General features: G+C 38.8%; 1 annotated feature.

The window, feature by feature from the left end:
• Positions 4,163–4,222: an enhancer, noted in NCBI's record as "active region_17158". NCBI's record gives its function as "activates an Ori minimal core promoter by ATAC-STARR-seq in GM12878 lymphoblastoid cells {active_cell/tissue: GM12878}" and the evidence as "EXISTENCE:reporter gene assay evidence [ECO:0000049][PMID:35858748]".

The following is a 23,829-nucleotide window of genomic DNA, read 5'->3' as shown; positions in this document are numbered from 1 at the left end:
AGTGGAAGTCAGAATGTGGCAAAAACTAAGTGAAACTTTGCTAAGAAGACAGATTATCTTTCTAATATAAGCCTAATACATTTTTAGTAATTGTGGGATGTGTGAATTGTCTTCTGCCTTATAGAGGCATAGATCTATTGCATTCTGCCAGAATGTGTTCTTTCCTCGAAATATCCCGGAAGAGAGGATTATAACATGAATACAATCTCTTTTCTGAGTAAAATAAAAGAAAATGAAGCTAATATTCTAGAGAGAAGCTGCTAGATGATGGCTATTTCTCAAGAGGGTCAATGCCCTATACCTGTTGACTAAATCTCAATGTACAAACTTGAAGTTTGGGGCATTTGTTTTTTTGGATCCTATTTCAGTGGAGTGGGTGAGAGAGGATGGTATCTTCTCTGATTTACCAGAGTTTAAGTATATGTAGGAAAAGCTTACAGGTACTTGAAAATACTAATATTTTTGACCAAAATCTTGTAAGATAACCTATCTGCATGTTTCAACTTTTGTTTTCTCAATCAATTCACGGTCCAAAGCTGAAACTACAGTGGAGAATTTTAGCACCTTTAGGCACACTTTGAACCATTAATGTTTTTTAAAAAAATAATTAGAGTAATACTTAATAAATGAGTAAAATTCTTTTTAAATTTTTGGTTTAACCTAGCCAGACAACTTATTCAACCCTTCATTTCACTTTGCAGTAGATACAAGATGGCTGGAAAGAGATAACCTGACAAATACATTTTTGTGATAAGCGATGAAATAAAATGTTCTGAAGAAAACAGTGTTCCAGCTTTTTAGAATACAGTTTCTCAACCTTGACACTGTTGGCATTTAGAACCAGATAATTCTTTCTTGTAGGGGGCTGGGGCAGGTGAGGCAACTGTCCAGTGCCTTGTAGAATATTTTGCAACATCCCTGGCCTGTACCCACTAGATGCCAGTAACAATCTACTGGCATCTTTCTTCCCAGTTGTGACAACCAAAATGTCTGCAGACATTGTCAATTGTCCCCTGGGCCAGCAAAATTGCCTCTGGTTGAGAACCACAGCTTTAAAATATAGGTCAAGAAGATTGCAGGATTACTGTTAGTAATTCTTCTATGTGAGGGATGGCAGAAAAGGTGGAAAATCCCTTCAAAGGCTAAAAGCTGCATACTGCAAGCCTTTGGTGGGTACCATTCATAGAGCTCAGATGCAAATGCACCTCTAGAGCTGAGCTGAGCAATTGTGTTGTGCTGAAATCACAATCCTTCTTCCAGACTAGAGCTGCAGCATGGTGAAGGGGAGAGTAGAAACACTGTTCTGTTGAAAGCCAAGAATGGTCATACAAAGTAGCAGCAACGCTTAGTATCTGCCTTCTGAGCAAGCTGGGCAATTGGTTTGTTGCTCCTACTGCTGGCTATTATTAGGACCCCCAGGATGGACCAACAAGCCACACTCTATCAAAGACAGATAAGAAAATCTCCAAGCAGTCATGGGGTTGGTGCCCACTTGGCATACCCTCATGAAGGGTCTCATCTTCCCTGGCTGGGATTTCACCAACCTCTTGACTAATCTCCTTTTGTAGGCCTGCTCTGGTCCAGCCTTCCTCTGCATAGCTGTCAGAATGTTCTTTCTAAAGCAAAACCCTGGATTTATCTCTGCCCTGCTTAAAATGCTTTGATGTTTCCTTTGAGATAAAGTTGAAGCTCCTTGGCACCGCCTAGATGCCGACTTCATCTTTTGACACCCTCTTTCACGCACATCAAATTCCAAACTCAGGTGTGAAAATGTCCCTTGTCATCTCTCTCTTCTTGTTCATGCAGGCTTTTCCTATCACTGCCACATTAGCCTAAGAGTCTAATCTGTATTTTTAGTGAAAAAAGTCAACAAAGAAGAAAGCCTTTTTACTGTGCTTCTTCTCTTTCTCTCTCCCCTCCCCTCTTTTTCTTCCCTCCTTTCCTTTTCTTTATTTTCAAGTAAGCATTTCTCTGTGTCATTAAAACTCTGATTTAATGGTTTTATAGCTTATGGTTCTTATATTATTTTCTATAACTCCTATCCCTACCCTCAACTCTTAGTATATCTCTGACTGTTCTTTATTGACCCCTTCTGGTGATAACTCTTCTCCCTTCTTAAATGTCTTCACACAGCAGGGTTTCAACACTGATGCTTTTCTCTTTCCAAATGCTTGCTGGATAATTACTTCCATTGAGCGGTTTGCCACTTTGGTGCTAGTGACTCTCAAACGTGTACCTCCAGCCTTACTCAGCCCATTTTCTGAGCACCAGACCTGATATGGTTTGGATCTGTGTCTTCACCCAAATCGCATGTTCAATTGTAATTCCCAGTGTTGGAGGTGGGGGGTGGGGGAGGTGATTAAATCAAGGGGGTAGATTTTTCATAAATGGCTTAGTCATCCCCTTGGTAATGTTCTCACAATAGCGAGTGGGTTCTCATGAGATCTAGTTGTTTAAAAATGTTTGGCACCTCCCTGTCTCTCTCTTGCTCCTGCTTTCACCATGTGATGTGCCTGCTCCCCTTTTGCCTTCCGCCATGATTGGAGGCTTCCTGAGTCCTCCCCAGAAGCAGATGCTGACTGCTATGCTGCCTGTACAGCCTGCAGAAATGTGAGACAATTAAACCTCTTTTCTTACAAATTACCTAGCCTACGGTATTTCTTTACAGCAATACAAGAACGGCCTCACATAAGACCCCTGTAAACTGTCTACAAAACAGTTTCCCTGGATGTCCCACCTATATCCCCAGTTCCACAAGCCCTCAGCTTAGCTCACCTTTTCCCACAGACTTGGTTTTATTTGAAATGCCATACCATGCAAGCATTCTCATCAGAAAACTGGGGACTTTCCCAAGACTGCTTCTTCATCTCTCACATTTAATTGGTGACCAAATCCAGTTGATTCTATCTGCTCAAGATCTCCTGCAGCTTTCTTGTTGTTACCGACTGTATTCAGACTCTGTTGTGTGGGATGTTTCAAGTATTTATCATTGATGTGTTCCCAGGCTTGTCCTATTTCAATCTATTCTCCTTGCTGCGGACAAAGCACATCTGGTCATGTTCCTTTTCTGTCTAAAATCCTTCAAGGTCTTTCCCATCAAACAAGCTCAAGCTTCTTGCCATGTTAGACCAGGGAAACGGGAATATCATTATGTCTGGAGTATTGTTACACAAAATATCTACCTTAAGAGTCACCATTAAATGGATATATCTAGGGTTGCACAAAGGCCAGAAATAAATTCAGAGCAAACAACACTGACATAGCACACATGGCCCCTAACTTCCTTTCCAGATTTATCAGTTCCCTTGAAGTTTCTTCTCTGCATCTCATATTCTAGCTACCTGAACTCCTTGAAGGCCCCTGAATGTGCAATATTACCTAATGTCCCTGTGATTTTTCTATCTCTAGAATATCTTTTCCTCGCTTATCCTCCCAACTTTTTTGCCTTTAATGCCCTTCTCTCCTATGTTTCCTGGTAAACATATACTTTTCCTTTAAGACTCTCTCAAATATAACCTTCTCTGTGAAATGTTGTCTGACTTCTTTCATCAGATATACTAAATTCCCCTCTCCTTTTCATCTGTACTGCACTCTGTAAGGGCAATATAATTGCATCTACAAATTTGAATTCAATTACATGACTTTATTTACTTCCTCATTTACTAGATTGATAGGGTAAGTCACTTTCAGAAAGAAACTATATTTTATTTATTACTAACACCTGCTATGGCACCCAGAGCACAGAGACATTCAGAAATGTTTTTCTAAAATTAAAAAGTAGACAAATGGATGAATTATAAGAATGTATCAGACATTTTTAAGGTTCATTACAGCTCTTCATTTCCTCATTCTAAAACAATTTCAAAGCTTCCCTCTTAGTATTTATAGATAAGGAATAAAAGGCAATTCTCTCAAGAGAGGTGATCCATTGACTTTGATTTAAAATAAATTGAATGAAGATGCATCACTCCGGTTCAGTGCGGACACATCTGAAGAGCAAGTGTTGGCAGGGACAAAGACATAATAAGCATAACATCACTGAGGGAGAGAGAGACAAAGAAACTAGAAGAAAAAGGGGCTCAGTGAGGAAAAGCACAGAGGCAGGTACTTTCCAACCACTTCAAAATCTTGCCAGGAGAGGGCTATGGTCATTTTTCACTTCTCCATTCCTCCGTAATTTTGGTCAAAGGGATAAGAAACCTGCATATCTTACTCAAATTTGCTTTCTAAAATGACAGAATAAAGTAGAAAAATATCAAATTACCACTTTTCCTTATATCCTTGGAGTACTTCAAAAGAAGCAAAATCATAAAATCAACAAAAAGTCAAAATAGAGGCTACTAGCTGCTGCAAGGAGAATGCCACTAAAACATTTATAAAGTTTCTATTCATATTTCTATTGTAAGGATGACTATGAAATTTGCTTCCATGATATACTCTTCCATAATTATAGGTATGAAAGTATCAATGACTGTAATTAAGACAGAAGGCTTAATTTTAATCAAATCAATGTTTAGAGTTGATAATGGAAGTTTTCTCATGTCCCTAATGACTAAAATTCTGCCTCTCAATATGATTGGCACAAGAGCCAACCACTTGGATGACTGAGTTAATTTTTATAAAATCAATAATTACATATCATGGGGACATGACTAGTAGTTAGACATAAAGAGAAAAATTCTCAAATCATGAATCAGCAAAAAGTTCTTAACGAAGGGAATTTCAGAATTTCCATCTTGGGGATAACTTTATACCTGAGGTGCTCTCAGTGACCTCTGCTCTGGCTTGCAGAGAGAGAGAGTGACTGGCGTGCTTCCTTCTGGGTCTCGATTCTCCACTTTGGGCCACATACACATGCCAATATTGGCAGAATTTGCACAGCAGAATGGTAACTAAGATAGGCAATGGTCTCTATACAGAAGGTGGGGAAAAGACGGAGAAACAGAGGACAAGGTCCAACTTTATTTGGGGCCAAACATCACACGGTTTTGGCAGAGTAAGGCCTGCTTTCCTCTGCATTTTGAGAACATGGGAGGCAAGGTCTCCCACCCCTTCTGCACCGCCATCTGCCTCAACCCTGCTCAGGGAGCATACGTGACAGTCATCTCTGAAAAACTGCAGTATTTTGACTTTTGATATCTGCTATGTAATGGTATGGGAAAAGTATTGCCAAAATGCAATATTTTTTGTGTGTATATATATACACATATATGCATATATGTGCATATATATACACATATGCATTATATATACACATATATGCATATATGTGTATATATATACATTTTAAGCCAGCTGGGGAATGGGTTTGTAATGGAAATGTCATGTTTAATCTTGTATAAATTATAAGATTAAAAACAAAACACCATAATAACCCATCCCTTAACTGGAAAGAGTTGAAATATGTAGAGTTAAGTAGGGCCTAGTAGTATAGACAGGATCAACAATATTCATGTATTGCTTAATAGAAAACAATATGCCTCAACTAATAATTGTGATTGCTTCTCTCAAACATAAGCCATGAACAGAAGCTAAGTGATTGCTCTTCAGCCACAGATTTCAATAAAAATTCTCATTGAATTCAATTGGCCTTTTAGGTATTAACTGCTAGTGTGTGTTTTTTTGTATATGTTTTATCATCCTATTGCAATTGATTTAACCCTTGGGCATGTTAAGGTGACCATTGTGTCTGTGGCTAAACGGGAAAAATATGGCTCATATTAGAGTTCAGGACCAGGAAATCCTGACTCCAGGGTTTGGAATAATAAGAATGCTGCTATTACAAGGCTACCAGTTACAAGTGCTCAATACTCTGACCGAATATTTGTAACCTTCCCATTCTGGCTGTCAGAGGAATACACCTGCATTTCATTACCTGACCCCCTGGAACCCGATAGAAAGATGTGAAAATCAGACATACAAAAAAGAGAGTCTTTTCGATCTTTTCTGTAGAAATCTCAGTGTATTTGATGGGAGGTACAATTAATAAGTTTGTACTTAGCCCTTCAAGACTCAATAGATGACTGTATCTGGATGCATAAACTAAGTAGTGGCAAATTCAGATCTGAAGACCCAGCCCCCTTTAAATCAGTGACAGGGAGTAGCTCTCCCTCTTACTACCTAAAGTTTCTCAGCAATGCAAACTCTCAGGTTCAGAAGAGAGAAGAAATTCTACCTTTCTCTTTTGGGAAAGTTGGACAGATAGAAGAGTAAGGAATTTTTATTTAATGAAATATGAGTTTGAGTTTCATCCCTTCTACTTAACGCCTATAGGTCTCCACTTCTCAGAATCTTTAAATCCTGGTCTCAAAATGGAAATAATACTATTATATACCTCACTTGAATACTGTGAGAATAAGTGTGATGATATAAACTAAACATATTTAACTATAGTCCAAAAATATCTATCAATTATTTCTTAGTTTATTCATTCATTTATTTAGAGACAGGGTCTTGCTCTATTGTTGTGATCACGGCTCACTGCAGCCTTGAACTCCTGGGCTCAAACTATCCATTCTAGCCTCCCTAGTAGCTGCGACTACAGGCACTCACCACCACGTCCAGCTAACTTAAAAAAAAAAAAATTTGGTAGAATCAGGGTTTCAGTATGTTGCCCAGGCTTGTCTCAAGCTCTTGGCCTCAGTCCTCTCACCTCAGCCTCCCAAAGTGTTGGCATTACAGGAGTAAGCTATTGGGCCCAGCCCTATCTTAGTTTAAATGCTTGTTCCCCTCAAGCCTCAGTCTACAGCTAGAATGAAGCATGGACACCAATAGATTTCATAATGATCAAGAAATGAATCTTACTTTACTGTGGCAGTACACATAACTTAATTCCACCAGCTAGATACTCCCTAGCAATCTGCTGGGTAAGGGGCAGAATCAAAGTATACGCAACTGAAACACCTCCCTTTTGACATTACACACTTGGAAGATGTTTACTCCATGGAGCAGGAAAGGTAAGATGAGATAAGAAAGCCCACCCTCCTCCTGGCCAACATGGTGAAACCCTGTCTCTACTAAAAATATAAGAATGAGCTGGATGTGGTGACGCGCCTGTAGTCCCAGTTACTTGGGAGGCTGAGGCAGGAGAATTGCTTGAAACTGGGAGGCAGGCGGAGGTTGCAGCGAGCCGAGAACCTGCCACTGCACTCTAGCCTGGCAACAGAGCAAGACTCTGTCTCAAAAAAAAAAAAAAGAAAAGAAAAGCCCATCCTCCAATGCCACACACTCCATCTCCCCACAACACCCCCCCACCCCACCCCAGGCAAGGAATAGCTACGACTATAAGACTATATATTATAATAACTTTTTTGCATTATTTCAGCATCTCATTTTTTGGTGAGGGTAGAAGAGTAGAGGAAGAGACATAGGAGAGGAAGAAAGGGCACCTGAAGAGCTTATTTTAGTCACAAACACTCCTTATAAGAATTAGGCATAAGATAATCATTTGAATGGCTTTGTTTAAACACTATTCAAAATGTTGGCAGAGACAGGAACAACAATTCCGACCTTAGACCTTAGTTCCCCTCCTGGAGGCCGGATACCTTTCCCAGACATTGAACCACTAATGGGAAATTAAAGGCAATAAAACAACAGCTGGAATCCCATAACTGACAAGGTTTATATTGTACTCGGAGCAATTCACACTTAAAGAACTTCCTTTCCAATCACCAGGCTTGTTTCTTTCTCTTCATTGTTCAGGTTGATTGAGGCTCTCCTGGTAAAGTGTTTTTCTCTTTGTATAACTGAGCAAAGCTAATCTCATTGTCGTCTCAGAACACCGTTCTGCTTCCAAAGATTTGAAGAGCTTTGCCCTCATTTTTACCTCTGGCTTGCAGGTTTCACTGGGGGAAAGGAAGGAACATTAGGATGCCTATTGCACAAGCCTTATGTATTTGATTATCTCAAATAGTGTTATTTTTATATTTTGTCCAATGTCATGGGCATTATTTCTCCAATTTCATGAGTAACAGAAGCCTCAAGGATAATCATTTCTGTCTCTTCACAAATGTACTCACGTGAAGTCAGATTCTGTAGCAGGAAAATAAAAGTGAATTACTGTGATCCACTGAAGAAGAAATTGACCCATCTATATGAAACAGTAGTAATAATAATAGCTAAAATTTACTGGGAACACTTCATATTCCCACCACTAAGTGAGTCACGTGAATTAGGTTTTTTTTAAAAAAACATTTTTCATATCCTCTCAAGAGTCCTTTTAATTCTTATTAAATTTTATTATAATACTTGTTTTATAGAGAAAGAAACTGGGCTTATAGGGGTTAAATAATACATTAGAGGCTTTGGGCAATAAATGATAAACCCAGAATTGAAACCTGGGCAGTCTGACTTTGGAATGAGAGTGCTAAATGATTTTCCAAATACAAATAAATTCACATGTATGTGTGCATGGACAGATCCAAGGTCATTATCATCTGTCATTCTCACTCCTATTAATATGTTTTCTTGATTGGAAAAAAAATGGTGGAGTTATAGCCACCTCATTGGGAATACTGGTGGAAATGTGTTGCACTATTGAATGTCATCTGTGAAATGTGTCACATCTGAAAAAATGTTAAGATCTCTGCTTAATGGGAAAAACGGGTGGGTAAACAGATGGTCACAAGACTGTCTGTCTGGTGCTATGATTGGGGCATGTGCACGAGATCATGAAACAGCCAAAATAAGAGTTACCCACAAGAAAGGTTTCTTAAAGAAGGAAATTCATGAGTTGTATCTGAGTGGAAGAGGAGGATTTCACCGGGAAGAAAATGGACGGAAAGACAACAAGACAAAAGGCAAAATATAAGACAAAGAATCAGCAATGGGGGTGGGGAAGGGAAGTGGTCAACATGTGTATAATTGGTGGACTTGGGAGAATAAAGCGTGAATGTTGTTGGTGGTGTTGTTTGTTTTTTGTTGTTGTTGTTTTTGCCCTGCTGAGTGGTTTGGATTTTAGCTACATTGTGATTAAGAACCATTTAAGGATTTAAATCTGGGGAGTGACAAGATCCTAATTGCATTTCTGCAGAATTACTCTGGAAGAAATGTGGAGAATGAATGGCTAGAGGTAGAGATAGACAACAGAAAGATCATTAAGGAGGCCATGATTCTAACTCACCTGCAGAAACTAGTGCAGGTGACAGAGAATATAGGTGTAGGCTAAGAAGCTCACAAGAAGAAAAAGGGGAGGAGATGTATTTAAAAACCTAACCTTAGAATGTAGAGTTGACAGAACTCGATGACCATTTGGCATGGTGGGTAAAAAAGAAGGAAGAATAAAAAATGAACACAAGTTTACTTCAGCAACTTACTGCCATTTCTGATGGGATATAAATGAGAAAGAGAATCTGAGGTAGAGAAAAATGTGTCCATTTTAAGAAAATAATGAGGTGCTCATATAGGGAATCTGAGCAGTCAGCAGAACAAACCAGAATAGAGTACAGATGGTAGAGTCAACTGGCAAATTGTGGGGTGGCAGTGCTGTGTAATTGGGGGATGAAACCTTGGAAGTGGCTAAGACCTCAGAGAGCCCATGGGGCAATAGAAGAGAGTTGATAGTTTATATAAAATGCAAGGGCTCATATAAGAAAAAGAAGCTAGTAAGGGAACCTGGAAATGAGTAGTTTGAGAGGTACAAAGAAAATCACCAAAGACCAAAGATAAATCAAGAGAAGAGAAATTTTCAAGAAGTTGAAAATGGTCAGCTGTGTCAGAGAGGTCAACTAATAAGAAAAGTTGAATGACTCCATTGGAATTTGGCAAAAAGGAGGCCACCAATAAGTCAGCAGAAAATGGGTTATTGGAGAGGGTAAGAGGAAGATGGTGGCGATGTGAGCACTGAAAGAAAGGGAAGAAAATCCAGGTCAATGGGGTGTATTTCTTTCACCCAGAACACTGGAGGCAGTTTTGTATACCTCCATTTTCACAAGATTTTGCACTTAAAATATTTCTTATGTGTCATAGGTAAATTAGCTATGTGATTTATATTTAATTTCAATAATTTTGTCTTGCTAACATGTTTTCCTTACAATCAATTAACTTTTATTTATTTTTCAGCACATTAGCTTTTTAAAATTAGCAGCATTGAAGAAACTAAATACGGATGCATGTACCCTAATTTCTTTATATTCTCTCACCTTTCTCAATCTCTTGACCTCCTGATATTTATCTTTCCTTAAAAGCTATTATTCAATTTTTAATACTCTATGAAAATTTTATAGTTCTAACTTGTTCATAAAATGTCATTGTTAGTGTTGTTTAATCTTGCTTGACTTCCTCTCATTTCTGGCCTCAGTTTTAACACAATCCACATAATAATTCATGCCAGGTTTCCAATCACTGCTTCTACAACTTCTTGTTGTTTCTGCACTCTTGTTGTTCTTGTTTTATTTATCCTTTTTTTTCTGTTTTACTTGTAATGACATTATATTATAATATACTGTCACATTATATATAATCAGTTCAACTTAGGGAAAATAATGTATCTTGAAAATAAAAGAAAGTGTATGTATGATTATGTAGACATATTCAGAGTATTGTATTAATACGATTTTTCATTTTTATCCATGCAGTGCGTGGCATATTTAGATATGAAATGGGCCTATATAGGGATTCCTCTGTTGCTTTAACCAATCAGGACACCAGCAGAGCAGGACGATATTATTTGTACCTATTTGTTTCAGGTGACATTCTGATAACATCTTAGGATTTCATTAACTTGAGACCTTATCAAAACAACCAACATATTATTTGAAAAGAATCACTTTGCATTATGGAATAAATTCTATACATACAGCTAACTTAAACAGGTTCAGCAATTTACAAACAATATTCAGAAGTGATCATGTCCGGATTGCATGAACTACCTTACCAATTTAAGGACTTTGCTAAAACTCAGGCAGGAGTGCTCATGAGCCATCTCTGCCTGCCTCTGATCTTTTTTCAATCTCCTGAAGCGTCTGACCCTCAGTGCCCCAAGCCAACCCATGCCAGACTGACTGCATCTGACATTTCACTGTGGAGATATCTCAGACTCTTCATATGTAAACTCCAGAGTTCAAACCTTGATATATATGCTGCATAGAAGTCATCATACATATGGTTAAAGAATTTGTTATTTCTAATTACTTTCCTAACTGCTAGCTCATTAATCCACATAGAATAGTCATCACTCCCTGACATTCTTTAAATCCCTATACATGTCTTTTGTCTTGTGCTGCTGCTATGGGAAATGTTTCTCTATCTCTATGACTTCAGGTTGGAAGAAAATGTCCTGAGCTTATCACTGTAGAGAAGATCACTTTCCATTACTCAAAAGTCCCTTCCTTGTGGCTATTTCCTGCCTCTTGCTGCAAATGGACCCTACAACAAGTTAAACAACTTGCTCATTCATTTTTTTTAGCAAACAGTTATTGAGCATGATATTGGGGCACAAAGCCAAGCAAGACAGCTTTCCCTTCCTTGAAGAAGCCTATCTTCTAGCTGAGGAGAAAGACAACCAAATCAATAATTGCAGGACAAGTACAAATGTTAGCGTTCAGGCACGTACAAGGTGAAACGCAAGCCTAGGGATGCACGCCTATTTTATTTTTGAGACGGAGTCTTGCTCTGTTGCCCTGGCTGGAGTGCAGTGGCCTGATCTCAGTTCACTGCAACCTCTGCCTCCCTGGTTCAAGTGATTCTCCTACCTCAGCCTCCCGAGTAGCTGGGATTACGGGTATGCACAACCTTATCTGGCTAATTTTTTGTATTTTTAGTAGAGATGGGGTTTCACCATGTTGGCCAGGCTGGTCTCGAACTCCCGACCTCAGGTGATCCACTGGCCTTGGCCTCCCAAAGTGTTGGGAGTACAGGTGTGAGCCACCATGCCCAGCCCACACCTGTTTTACAAAGGGGGTCAGAGAAGGCTTCTCTGAGCAACCAGAATTCCACCTGAGCATTGAAGGATGACAGGGAATTTGCTAGATAACATGGAAGAATGGCCTCCTAGACAAAGAGGAGAATATGTGTAGATGCAGAGGCTTGAAACAGCACAGCATTGGGGAAGATGGGATTGGGGAGAAAAGGGACTTCCATATTATGTTTTGCATAGCTTAGGATGCTCAAATTTTGCATAATGAGAATATATTCATAAACAAGTTGTATCAATAATAAAATGAAAAATAAAACATAAGGACACAAAAAGCATTGCATGACACTTTTGAAAAAGTTTATTATTATTGGAGTGATGAATACCTGTCAGAGAGGGGTGGGGATGAGCCTGGAACACCAAGCCAGGGCCACCTCATTCAAGAAGCCCTTACATATCAAGAAAAGGCATCTATAAATGTCCCCTGAATGCTTTGAGAAGACAATGATAGATTTTAAAGAGGAAATGGCATTGTTTAGTATTAATTTTAGAAACAATTTCATTAAAAAAAGCATGGAAAAAAATGGGAGGGGGTTGATTTTGGAAGTGGAGGAAGCAAAAACAAGAATCTAGGAGAATGATGTGAAGGGCTGGAGTTATGATAGTGGAAGGGGAGAGGGAGATGAGGGAGCAGAGGAGAGGGATAAAGAGGTTGGGGCCACAAAAGTGAGTCACAGGTTCAATACAGCCCCCAGTGGTGTGGGTGAGGTGGGGTACAGGAGAGACAACTCCAGTTTGTACAACTGACTATTGTCAGCCACCAAGAAGGGTATAGAAAAGAAGGAACAAATTTAGAAAAAAGAGTTTGTTTGGGGTGGGTTGCATTTTTATGTCCTATAGAATACCCAAGAGGAGATGTCTAATCGGCACTTGAGAGAAGAGTCTGGTGTTTGGCACAAAGAGTTGAATGGCCCTTTAACCATTCATAGAAGCCTCACAATTCATTAGGTAAAATTTCTTAGAAGTCAGACTTGACCCAGAATTAAGGGACATAGGAAAGGGTTTCCAAATTTAACAAATTTTCATTGTTTATCATAATATTGCCTCGTTAGCTAACATAATGTGTGAAAATTAGTTTTAATCGGAGTGAGGCTCTCGCTTAACAAAAACCAAAACCTGTCATTCTTTCTACAGGAGTCAAAGCAGTTATTTTTGTATCATGTAGCCAAAACAGCTGGCTGGTTTCATTGTTCCCTCAGTAAATAGCTGTTTTGGCACAGAGCTAATGAGCACCAACAGGATCTTTACCCAGAAGCTTCAAGCAAAGGTAGCAGTAATAGGTGTACTTCTGAAAGATAGGGTGGCAAATTGGCTGATGTTAAACAATTGCACATAATTGGTAAATGTTACAAGTATTTACAGTGAATAAGAAGAGCTAAGTGCATTTGGTAGAATAGGATTAAAATGGCACTAAAAGCCAAACACAAGGAGAAGTAACATCTGCTCTCAATCATAAGAGTCAGTGTTGAGAAGTGCTCCACAGGGCCCAAAGCTTGCTCAAACAACAGTCCCTCCATTTGTAGAATGTCACGTTAAGAAAACAGTGATTGAGAAAGCAGCAAAAATTGGGCAATGTCCACATCGCATATTTCAGCTAAGATAAATGTAGGAGTCACTAGAACACGCTTGTGTACTATATGTATTTTAATCACTTATCCATGAATCCCATAATGGCTTGGTATATGACTAAAAAGTCTACTAGGAAGCCTTATTGTTTAGACAGGGAAGATTAATGGTAAAATTATCAACTATTATTAACATTCATTTACTTATTCAACAGTTTGGGGGCGTTAAATACATGTCAGGCTCGGCAGCTACAACAGTGAGTGAATCAGACTCCCCTCCTGATACTCTCATGTCGGCATCCATCCCACACATACTAGGTCTGGCCCTATGTGGTTTTTAGGATCAAGTGAGTTCAGAGAGTTATCACAATTTTGCTGAAAACACTGAGACAAACTTGTGAAATAAATCGCCAATGTTATAAAGCTAATAACTGCCAGAGCCAGTGTTGAATCCAAGTCCAAGACTTTTTGCAATATAATTGCCTTTTATAGTCCAAGTAGGACTCATGGAACAATTTAAGATACGAAAATGATGAAACTTTATTCAAAATAGCCACAAACTGGAAAAAAAATAACAAATACCTATAAACAGGATAGATGAATACATTTTGATATATTCATAAAATGAAATATGCATTAATAAAAATAAATGAATTATAATCACATGCAGCAACATAGAAGAAAGATATAAGGGAGTGTGTACTATGCAGTCTATTTATGTAAAGAACAAGCAGGCCGGGTGTGGTGGCTCATGCCTGTAATTCCAGCACTTTGGGAGGCTGAGGCGGGCGGATCATGAGGTCGGGAGATGGAGACCATCCTGGCTAACACGGTGAAACCCTGTTTCTACTAAAAATACAAAAAAATTAGCCAGGCGTGGTGGCAGGTGCCTGTAGTCCCAGCTACTCGGGAGGCTGAGGCAGGAGAATGGCGTGAACCCGGGAGGTGGAGCTTGCAGTGAGCCGAGATCGCACCACTGGACTCCAGCCTGGGCGACAGAGTGAGACTCCGTCTCAAAAAAAAGAACAAGCAAAACTAATCAATGATGATACAAATAATAGCAGCTACCTTTGAGAAGTGATATTGACTAGGAGGGGACATGGAAAGCCCTCTGATATGCAAAAAATGTACTTTCTCTTGATCGGGGTGGTAGTTACAGCTGTATAAATATATCAAGTTCATTGACTTGTGTATTTAAGATTGGTGCACTTTATGTATATCGCATCTCAATTTAAAAATAATAAATGATGAGCAGGAAAGAACTTGGTGAGCTGGTGAAGTATTTGTCTAGCAGAGTCTTTAAAGCAGTTTCAGAAAAAAAAAAAACTGGTTCCAAGCTCTGATCATTTAGACTTAACAATTGTTTCTTCGTGCTCTTTAAGCTGTCTCGGCTCAGACCTGTACTATTTCACACCAGGGCAATTGCAGTAAGCACCAAGTGGTCTGCCTGTCCTTCAGTCCACCCACACAATGCATCCAGTTATCCTTCCTAAGTGCTGAATTTTCCCATTAACTCCTTTGTGTAAACATCTTCAATGGTGCTCCATTTTCTATGAAGTTCACAATCTTTAGCATAGATATGGAGTCTTCTGCAATCTTTTCCCAGCCACCTAACTAGTCTAGTATCATCATCTGCCTGTCACTTCCAATTATCTTTCCTTCCTTCCTTCCTTCCTTCCTTCCTTCCTTCCTTCCTTCCTTCCTTCCTTCCTTCCACAAATATTTATGCAATACCTACTTAGGTAAGACATTCTATCAGATGGTAGGTAATAAAAATGAATGGGACAGAATCTTATCACATTGCTGCAGATTAGACATAAGGCAAAGATATCCACATACATACAATTACAAATCTAATGAGGGGCACAAAGAGATAGACCAGGGCATTATGGAATCTAGAGTAGAGGTACTGGATGCAACCTAAGAGGTTCTTTACAGAGCCGATGGAGGATAGTGAGTCTTGAAAGAGAAAGAGAAACAGACCTGGCAGATAGAGATAGGTATGTGGTAGATTACAGCAATCTGGGCCGAGGACCTTACCTAAACAAAAGTATATAGGCATGAAAGAGCATGGGATATCTAGGAAATAAAAAGTTAAACATTTAGAAAGATTGAATCTTATAGTTCAAGGGTGGGGATGAGGTGTAGCAGTGCTTGAGGCAGGACATGTAGGCAGAGAACCATATCATCAGAGACCTCGTTTGCAATGCTAAAGAGTTTGGATTCTGTCCCACAGGCAGCGGGAGCTCCCAGACACACCTTATGCTGCAGCCATGCCAAACTCTGGCTGGTTCCACAGCCACTTCAGGCACTTTCACAACTCTGCGCAGTTCATCTTGTTTCTTCAGCTCCAAATTCCAGCCCCACCTGGCAAAATTATATCATTGTTCTGAGTTGTATACCTGACAACACAGAATTGCTTTTACTAAACTTGGCATGGACATTCTGCCATTGGTTCCCATAAGATGTGAAAACAAACCCATGAAAATTGCTACCCTCTTGACTGTAGTGAAGTTGTTTAAAAGTATTGTTTGTAAGATTTCACAGGGTTTTCTTTATGGGGGCCACCAAGGAAATGTCTCTCAGTACCAAGAATATTTGAGATCTCCCAGAGCTGGTTTGTGTTTAAGCACACTGATGCATTTCAGATGTTTCTCTTCTTTGCTTTAGCTCAGAGCTGAATCTGTGGCCCATCTCTATTGAGCCTAAAGGTCTCTTTTTATTTATTTATTTATTTATCTTGTGGGCTAATCTCACCATGCCTTTATTTTATTTGATTCTTCCTATTTTCTCAATATCCTGATTTCCTCACTTACTTTTATATGGATTACCTATAGTTTTGAGATCCATCTGAAATAGTTTTTGAAACAAGTTGGGCTACACATGACCAGGAGAGTAAATAAGAAATAAGTCATCATTATTTGAGATTCTTTAATGCCACCTTTTTTGTGAAGCCTCCTCAGATTCTCCAAGGCAGAGTCAGTCAGTGTCTGCTTGGAAAGCCCGCATGCTTTGTTGATGCATTTATTCTAGTCTTTCTGCATTGCTTTATTAGTAATTGCTTACATATTTGTTCATCCCACCCTTCTGGAACACCTTCAAGCCAGGAACAAAAAAATTTAATTTCCCTATTATTTTCCCAGAATCTCATGCTGTAGGTAGGGACACATTTAATTCTTGCTGTATGAATAAATAAATAAATAATGATAATGTAAAAGAAACTTGGGTTAAACTTATCTGTTAAGAGAGCAGAGAATTGGGTAAAAGAATACAGAGAACAGGCTGGGCACAGTGGTTCATGCCTGTAATTCCAGCACTTTGAGAGGCCAAGGCAGATGGATCACCTGAGGTCAGGAGTTCAAGACCATCCTGGCCAACATGGTGAAACCCCATCTCTACTAAAAATACAAAAATTAGCTGGGCGTGGTGGTGGGCACATGTAATCCCAGCTACTTGGGAGGCTGAGGCAGGAGAATCACTTGAACCTGGGAAGCAGAGGTTGCAGTGAGCCGAGATTGCATGATTGCACTCCAGCCTGGGCGACAAGAGCAAAACTCTGTCTCAAGAATAAAAAAAAAAAAGAATACAGAGAACAGTGATCAGGAAGCTCTGAGATGAATGGCTCTATAGAAATACCAAGATACCCAGATGGCCTCAAGTAACTCAGGGTCAAAGCATCATTCTGAACATGTAGTTGAGAAACAGCAAGAGAAAGGAAGAGAAGGAGATTGCACTTGTTTGAGGGGAACATGAACAAGGCTAGATGTAAAGCATGTGGCCGTAAGAACAGTCACACAAGAAACACTTATTGAGCTACTACTGAATTATTGCACTGGAGGCTGTGCTTACATGTCATAAAAAACAAACAAACAAAGAAAAACAATAGTCTTGCAAGAACATGACCCCTTCATCCTGTGACTAAAGGCAGGCTATATGAATTAAAAATAATGAAAGCAGGATTGGGAAACACATACAAATTATGAGAATATTTACTGAGTGCTTTTATTTCACAGTTGCAATGACTCATTAATGTATTGTTCAGTGCTTCACCATTCACCTAGAGCTTTCATGGACATAGTCTCCCTTGGGACACACAGTGACCCTGTCAGGGCAAAAGGGCAAATGATTTTCTCTCTCTTTAGTAGATTAGGTGGCTGGGTCTCAGATAGCCTGAGGTACTTATACAAGTGCATTTACGTGGTTAGTGGTTGGTTGGTGGAACCAAAAGGGAGGTTTTTTTAGCTCACCATCTATAGCACAATATCCATTTTATTTTGCTGCCTCAACAAGTTTTAGACAATGCCTGGTAACAGCCTACCAATAAGACTGAAACTATTTGGAGAGGTTCATTGTGTTGGTTCACTCACTGTGACTTCCCGGAGCCTCTGGGATAAAGTTCAAGTTCATCAGCATAGCATTTGAGGCCCTTCCCAGACTGGCTCTACCTGCTCAGGTGGTGTAAGTCCCCACATTCTTTCCTGGTGCATCTATACCTGCTATGCTTCCTTCTGGGGGTTTGAGCCAAACAGCCATTCCTCCTCTGGAATCACAGAATATCAGTCAGGATCTTTGTTTACTCTTAAATGTTTCTACGTCCTTGCAAATTTTGCCTGTATTCCATGAAATATCCATATTTGTTTTAGCTATAAAAATGTTGAAGGGACTTGTTAATACTCTCAATAGCTTAGCCTTAGAGTGAAGCTGCAGACAGACATGTCATATTTATTCTCTGGCCTTAAGGACTGCCCTACATGAACCTCTGGAGGTGAAGCCCAAGTTGAAAGACAGGGCATTTTGTTACACTGTGAACTTACTCAAGACAGGGAATGTGTCTCATTCTTCTTTTTAACCCTAGCACATCCTCCGATGTATTATATATTAGCTGGCTGCCTGGCTGGCTCAATGGATGGATAAATGATAGATGATAGATGATAGATAGAAGCAATAGATGACACTATGCAAAGAGAAAAATATCTGTTTTTGCCAATTATATATAATTTTAAAAAGTATGCCCTATAATTAACCTCACGGTCTCTTCAACTTTTGCACAATGCTGTAACCCTTGTTGACATAAATATGAAAAGCTTATATATGATACAAAAATAAGAATGCATTCATATGAGCGTCTTTTGGCAAAGGTCCAATAGAAAACTTCTAAATCTAATTTACCTCATTAATTCTTTTCTCTGATATTCAGAGAAGGCTTTTTTCCTTTAGCATGTATAATAGCATAATGTAGGAAATATGTTCACTTTCAAAATCTCTGTGGGCTATGTTTATTGTTTATTGATTGTACCTATTCTAAACTATGCCTTTGCTAAAATTCAAATTTCTTCCATTATCGAGCAGACAAAAATGGGTTTCCACAAAGGTGACTATAAAGTAGATTACCGTTGACTTTTGTTTTGTAGAAAAGAACAAAGGAGGAGAAGACATACGTCTTCATATAATCAATTTAAACCATTTCTTATTAACAAAGTGATAAACATTTGGCTAGCAAAGAGTCAACGTGTGTCAAGTGTGGGTGAAAGGAAAGGAAGGTGAGGTTGTTTCAGGGTGAGGGTAAAGGTTAGGGGTGGTTGGCTGTGGTCCCTGGATGGCAGAGTGGGGCTATTTGGAATTTTTTGGGGATTTTCCAGAAAATGTCAAGAAATAGTCTTTTTTCTCTCTTATAGAAGTTTTGAGAAAAACTACCTAAATTAGCTAATTACTTAATTCTTGATTTTTTCCTTATGGAAATGTTTATATACATATAGTATATTTAAAGGAGAACAAGGAAGGGAAGAAGGCATTGAATGTGTTTGTCTGGTATGGCTCTCTACAAGTTAACAACTTGCAGCCTCTGTGACACTCATCCGGTCATGGTTGGATGTCAGGAAGGTGACAGAACAGAATGTTTTAAACTAAAACAAGGTGGGGAAGTTAAAGATATAATTTTAGAATTTATGGACATTTTAAAATAGTGGGATTTTTTTTTCCTTTTTAATGAAAATATCGGAGAACAAATGACATCTAAAGTAATTACTGCAGTAATTTACCCAATTGAGTCATTTGGTTAGCCTGGGGAAAGTAAGAGTGCATAGGTTTAAATGAATAATATAGTTTGCCTATAAAAAGGAGTATTTGTGTCTGTGAGTGTGTGTGTTATATTTTAAAAATGAAGAAATAAAATATTTTAGTGGACTGGGTGATATTTACCTATATTTTTCTTTTCTTTTCTTTTATTCCCTCTTTTTCTACCATCCTCTCTCTCCCTTCTCCTCCTTCTCTCTTTTTCCTTCCCATTCTATTTTTCTTCATCTCTCACTTCCTCTTAACAATGTTGGACTAGAAGTCCAGGTAAAGTCCATGCTTTTAATTAACTTGCTGTATGAACTTATTAGGTGAATCACTTAAGCTTTCTATAAAATTAGAAGGCTGACTTTCTTCCAGGCCTCTCATTTTGTGATATTTCTCTGTTTGACCAAAATAGTGCATAATCTATAGCTGCTGTCCTTTTCCTTCTCTCCAGATGCCCCTCTGTGTCAGCTTCCCAGGTGGGATGGGGTATATTACCAGGCACAAGATCTCTATGGATAGAAGGACTGAGGAGTGTTGACTGGAAGATATGAGACCTCATCCAGACCTTACACATGGATGTGTAGACACTTCTGGGCAAAAGAAAGAATCAGAAGCTCTCCCATGTGGAGGACCTCATAGATCAAATGTCATGTCATTTCATGGAAAAGGTCTGTATACCTCCCATTCTTTCTCCTTGCCTACTCAGTGGCCATTTTTCCCTTCCAAAGTTCAACCACCATAATCAGTTTTCTCTCTGTTCTTTATAACCTTCTGAAGTATTCTCTTTTTCTGTCTAACCCTGGTGGAATTACAAGTCCTCCTCCTTTGAATTACCATTAGATTGGGTCCCAGTCAACCTCTGTAAGCTTCCATGGTTGTTTTCCACCATCCTATTGATAGGGACAGGAGACAGGGAAATACTGGGTGGAAGACAGTGGTTCCCCTGCAAAGGCCCACCCTCAAGCCTGAAGACCCACACCCTAAATGAGAACAGACATTCCTGTTTTCATACCCAAAAGTTGCCTTTTGGCCCACCATGCCCCCTATCCTGCACCCATATAACCCCGAAACCCAAGCTCCAGAGCAGACCAGCAAGCCAGCAGACCAGCGGACAGAAGGCAGAACAACACAGCAGAGAAAGGGAGAAGAGGAGGAACATCTGAACACCGAGAGGAGTTCGTCTGGGGGTGGTGGGAGAGGAATCCGGCTGCTGGACAACCCAGCTCCAGGGGAGGATCGCCTTCACACTCCATCCCCCACTTCCGGCTCCCCATTCATCTCACTGAAAGCCACCTCCACCACTCAATAAAACTTTGCCTTCATCCTTTGAGTCCATGTGTGACCTAATCTTTCCAGGACACTGGACAAGAGCTTGGGTTACAGAAAGTTGTTGTACTGGCCCTTTGCCCTTGTGAAAAGGCAGAGGGTTAACTGAGCTGGTTAACTCTCAAGCCATCCGCAGGTGGCAAAGCTGTAGGAGCTTTGTAACCCCAAGGTTGCAGGCACCCACCCCTAGAACCAGCCCAAAGTGCTCACCCGGCCTCTGCACTTGTCCTTCTGCATGCTCCCCCTCCCTCAAGGGGTCTGAGTGATCCAACAGGGGAGCCACACCTCTGTCACATGTCCTGAAAGGGGAATTGGGGAACTCTTTCATTTCACTATCACCCTCTACCCCTAGGTAACAGGAGTGTGTCTATTTTTCTTTGCCACACAGGTTGCACAGTATAATCATTTTACATTATGCACCATCCTGCCCCATTTATCAATTCCTGAATCATTGAAACATGAAGGGTCCCAAAGTTAAATCATCTCTAATTCTGTGTGTATGGCAGATTGAGGACTGCCCTATATAATTTATCTTTGGTTCCAATTTAAGAATTTCTGCTAAAGGGATTGTTCTAACAACTCCTGTTCAGAACTCCTAGTTCCACTCACTACATTGCTTTGTAACTCACTTAGCCATCTTTTACCAAGTAAGGTTGAGTCACTGCGCAGCCAAAGAACAACATAATAATGTGCAGAGATGAACACGTATCTCAATTACTTTGTTACATGTATTAATACTTATCATTTTAGCAAAACAATGGTCTAATAAAATGACTTTTATGTCATTCTAAGCCAGGCCATCCTGACTCTACTATTTGGGTTTTAATAGCATATATAAACAAAATGGTCCTATATCTGCTTAGTGGTATAACAACAAAATCCACTAGCAATTCTCGTATTTTTATCATCACTTGGTATTAAGTTAATATCAATGTGTTGCTGGTCCTAAGAATGTCACACAAATCTGATGATGAGCAATTCTTTCTTGCTCCAGGGAGAAAAAAAGGCATATTGATTTAAATTCCAGCAGGACTAGAACAGCATGTTATAAAATGACCCCGTGTGGTCTCTCAAAACTTATTTTTCCCCATATCTTTGTTCCCGGAAAATAATTTCCTCCACCTTTATTTGCCTCTCAAAAATTGCTTTTTCAGACTTGGTTGGGAGAAATGCATCCATTTTCTTCATCAAAACCATTAGAGCAAGCTGAAGTATTTAGAAGAACAGCACTGCAATTCACTTTGAAATGCATCTCAAAAATAAGATGGATTGCCACAGGTAGCAGGATGGATAGAGGGATAGATAGGAGATAAAGCAAGTGGAGCAAAATGTTAATGGTAGAATGCAGGGTGGAAAGTATACAGGTATTCAAAACTTTGTGATATGTCTGAAAAATTTTATTACAAAATGTTAGGAAAAAAGATTATAAGACAGAGTCATTTAACCACTGTCCTGGTTCATTTGACAGCACCAACCCTCCAGTGTGCTGCGGGATTTGCTCTACCCTGATGTGCAAATGGACAAGCCTTCATGGTGCAGGGTGTAATTAGAGCACCAGTTTAGAAATTTGGCAGTCAGCGCTAAAAGGGAGCATTTTCTACTTTGTGCTGTGCTCATCAATAGACAAGATGAAACACTCTTGTCATGATATTTTTGCATTGTAACCTGACGAAGTTTAAATTCAGCTAGCTCCAGCATCCTTTACAGGTTCAATTCTACTCATAATCACAACAAAACTCACCCTTGCAAAAAGGAAAAACTGAAATGAAGAAAATGCTTAGTGTCTTATGAGATATCATATATATATATATATATCTCCTTGATAATAAAAATGTAGGTAGAAACAAACAAATGACAACAAAATCCCTTAAGAAACCATAATAACCAAGAATGAAAGGAAGATGTTAAGGAATAAGAGATAAAACTGAGTGTGAATACTGTCTAGTTCATATAGATGCATATAATCTATTGAAAGAGGTCATTATAAATTTCATATAGTATCTAACACAATAATGAATATGAAATGTGTTCATATGTGGTCTCTAATAATGCATCACCTTAATTAAAACCAGAATTATTCTCTTTTCTCTGAATTTCATTTACAACAGAGAAGGCGGTATCTAGCCTGATGCACAAGCAAGTTACTGAAAGGAAAATGTTCTACTTTTAATTCCAGGGCCAATTATTGGTAATAGAAGAACACATCACCCTATTTAGTTACCTTTTTGAAAGGGATATGCTTTCCTTCTATCTTAAAATGCTTATTGTTATCAAAGACAGCGTCTAGACAAGCAATTGACCTTCTTATCATGACCTACGGTTGTCATTGTCATTTCTCTAACTTTACCTTGGGCAGAAATGGTATATATATAAAGTATATAACATTTAAAAGTATTTGATGAGCATATAGCTCATTGTTCCTTCTTTCTTCTTTTAATCTTAAAACTTATCTGATATTAATCATTTATACCCTTCAAACATCAAATATTTTCTATTTTCCTTTTTTCTAAATAAATCCCACTATAAAAGAGAAACTTGGGCAAAGATTTTAGAAACATCCTACAAGATAAGAAGAAAAAAAATGAAAAGAAATTCGAACTTGGTCAGTTTCATCATCATGAGTTAAAATGTCACAGACATTTTGTTTGATGAACAAAATTTTTGGTCTAATTTTGTTCACCTGATCAACTTTTAAAGATTTTTCAATCACAAATGCCAGCATTAGAATTTGGACTGTGCAGTTTAAAAAAGAATCTAAATTTCTCTGCATCATACCAGTAATTTTAATACATCAGTGACGGCATTTTTAATAAACATGTTTTTTCTTATAGATTTATCTACTAAACGTATTTATTAAATACTTATTTTTAGATACTTAATAGATTTTATGTTCTAAGCAATCCTTACATATTTAACTTCAAATCTCTTACATACTGGATAGATTACTTGATATCTCCATGAAAAATA

Source organism: Homo sapiens, chromosome 2, assembly GCF_000001405.40.
Source record: "Homo sapiens chromosome 2, GRCh38.p14 Primary Assembly".
NCBI classification, from domain to species: Eukaryota; Metazoa; Chordata; class Mammalia; order Primates; family Hominidae; genus Homo; species Homo sapiens.
Note: the sequence above shows the minus strand (reverse complement) of the source record. Positions and strands in the feature narration are given on the sequence as shown.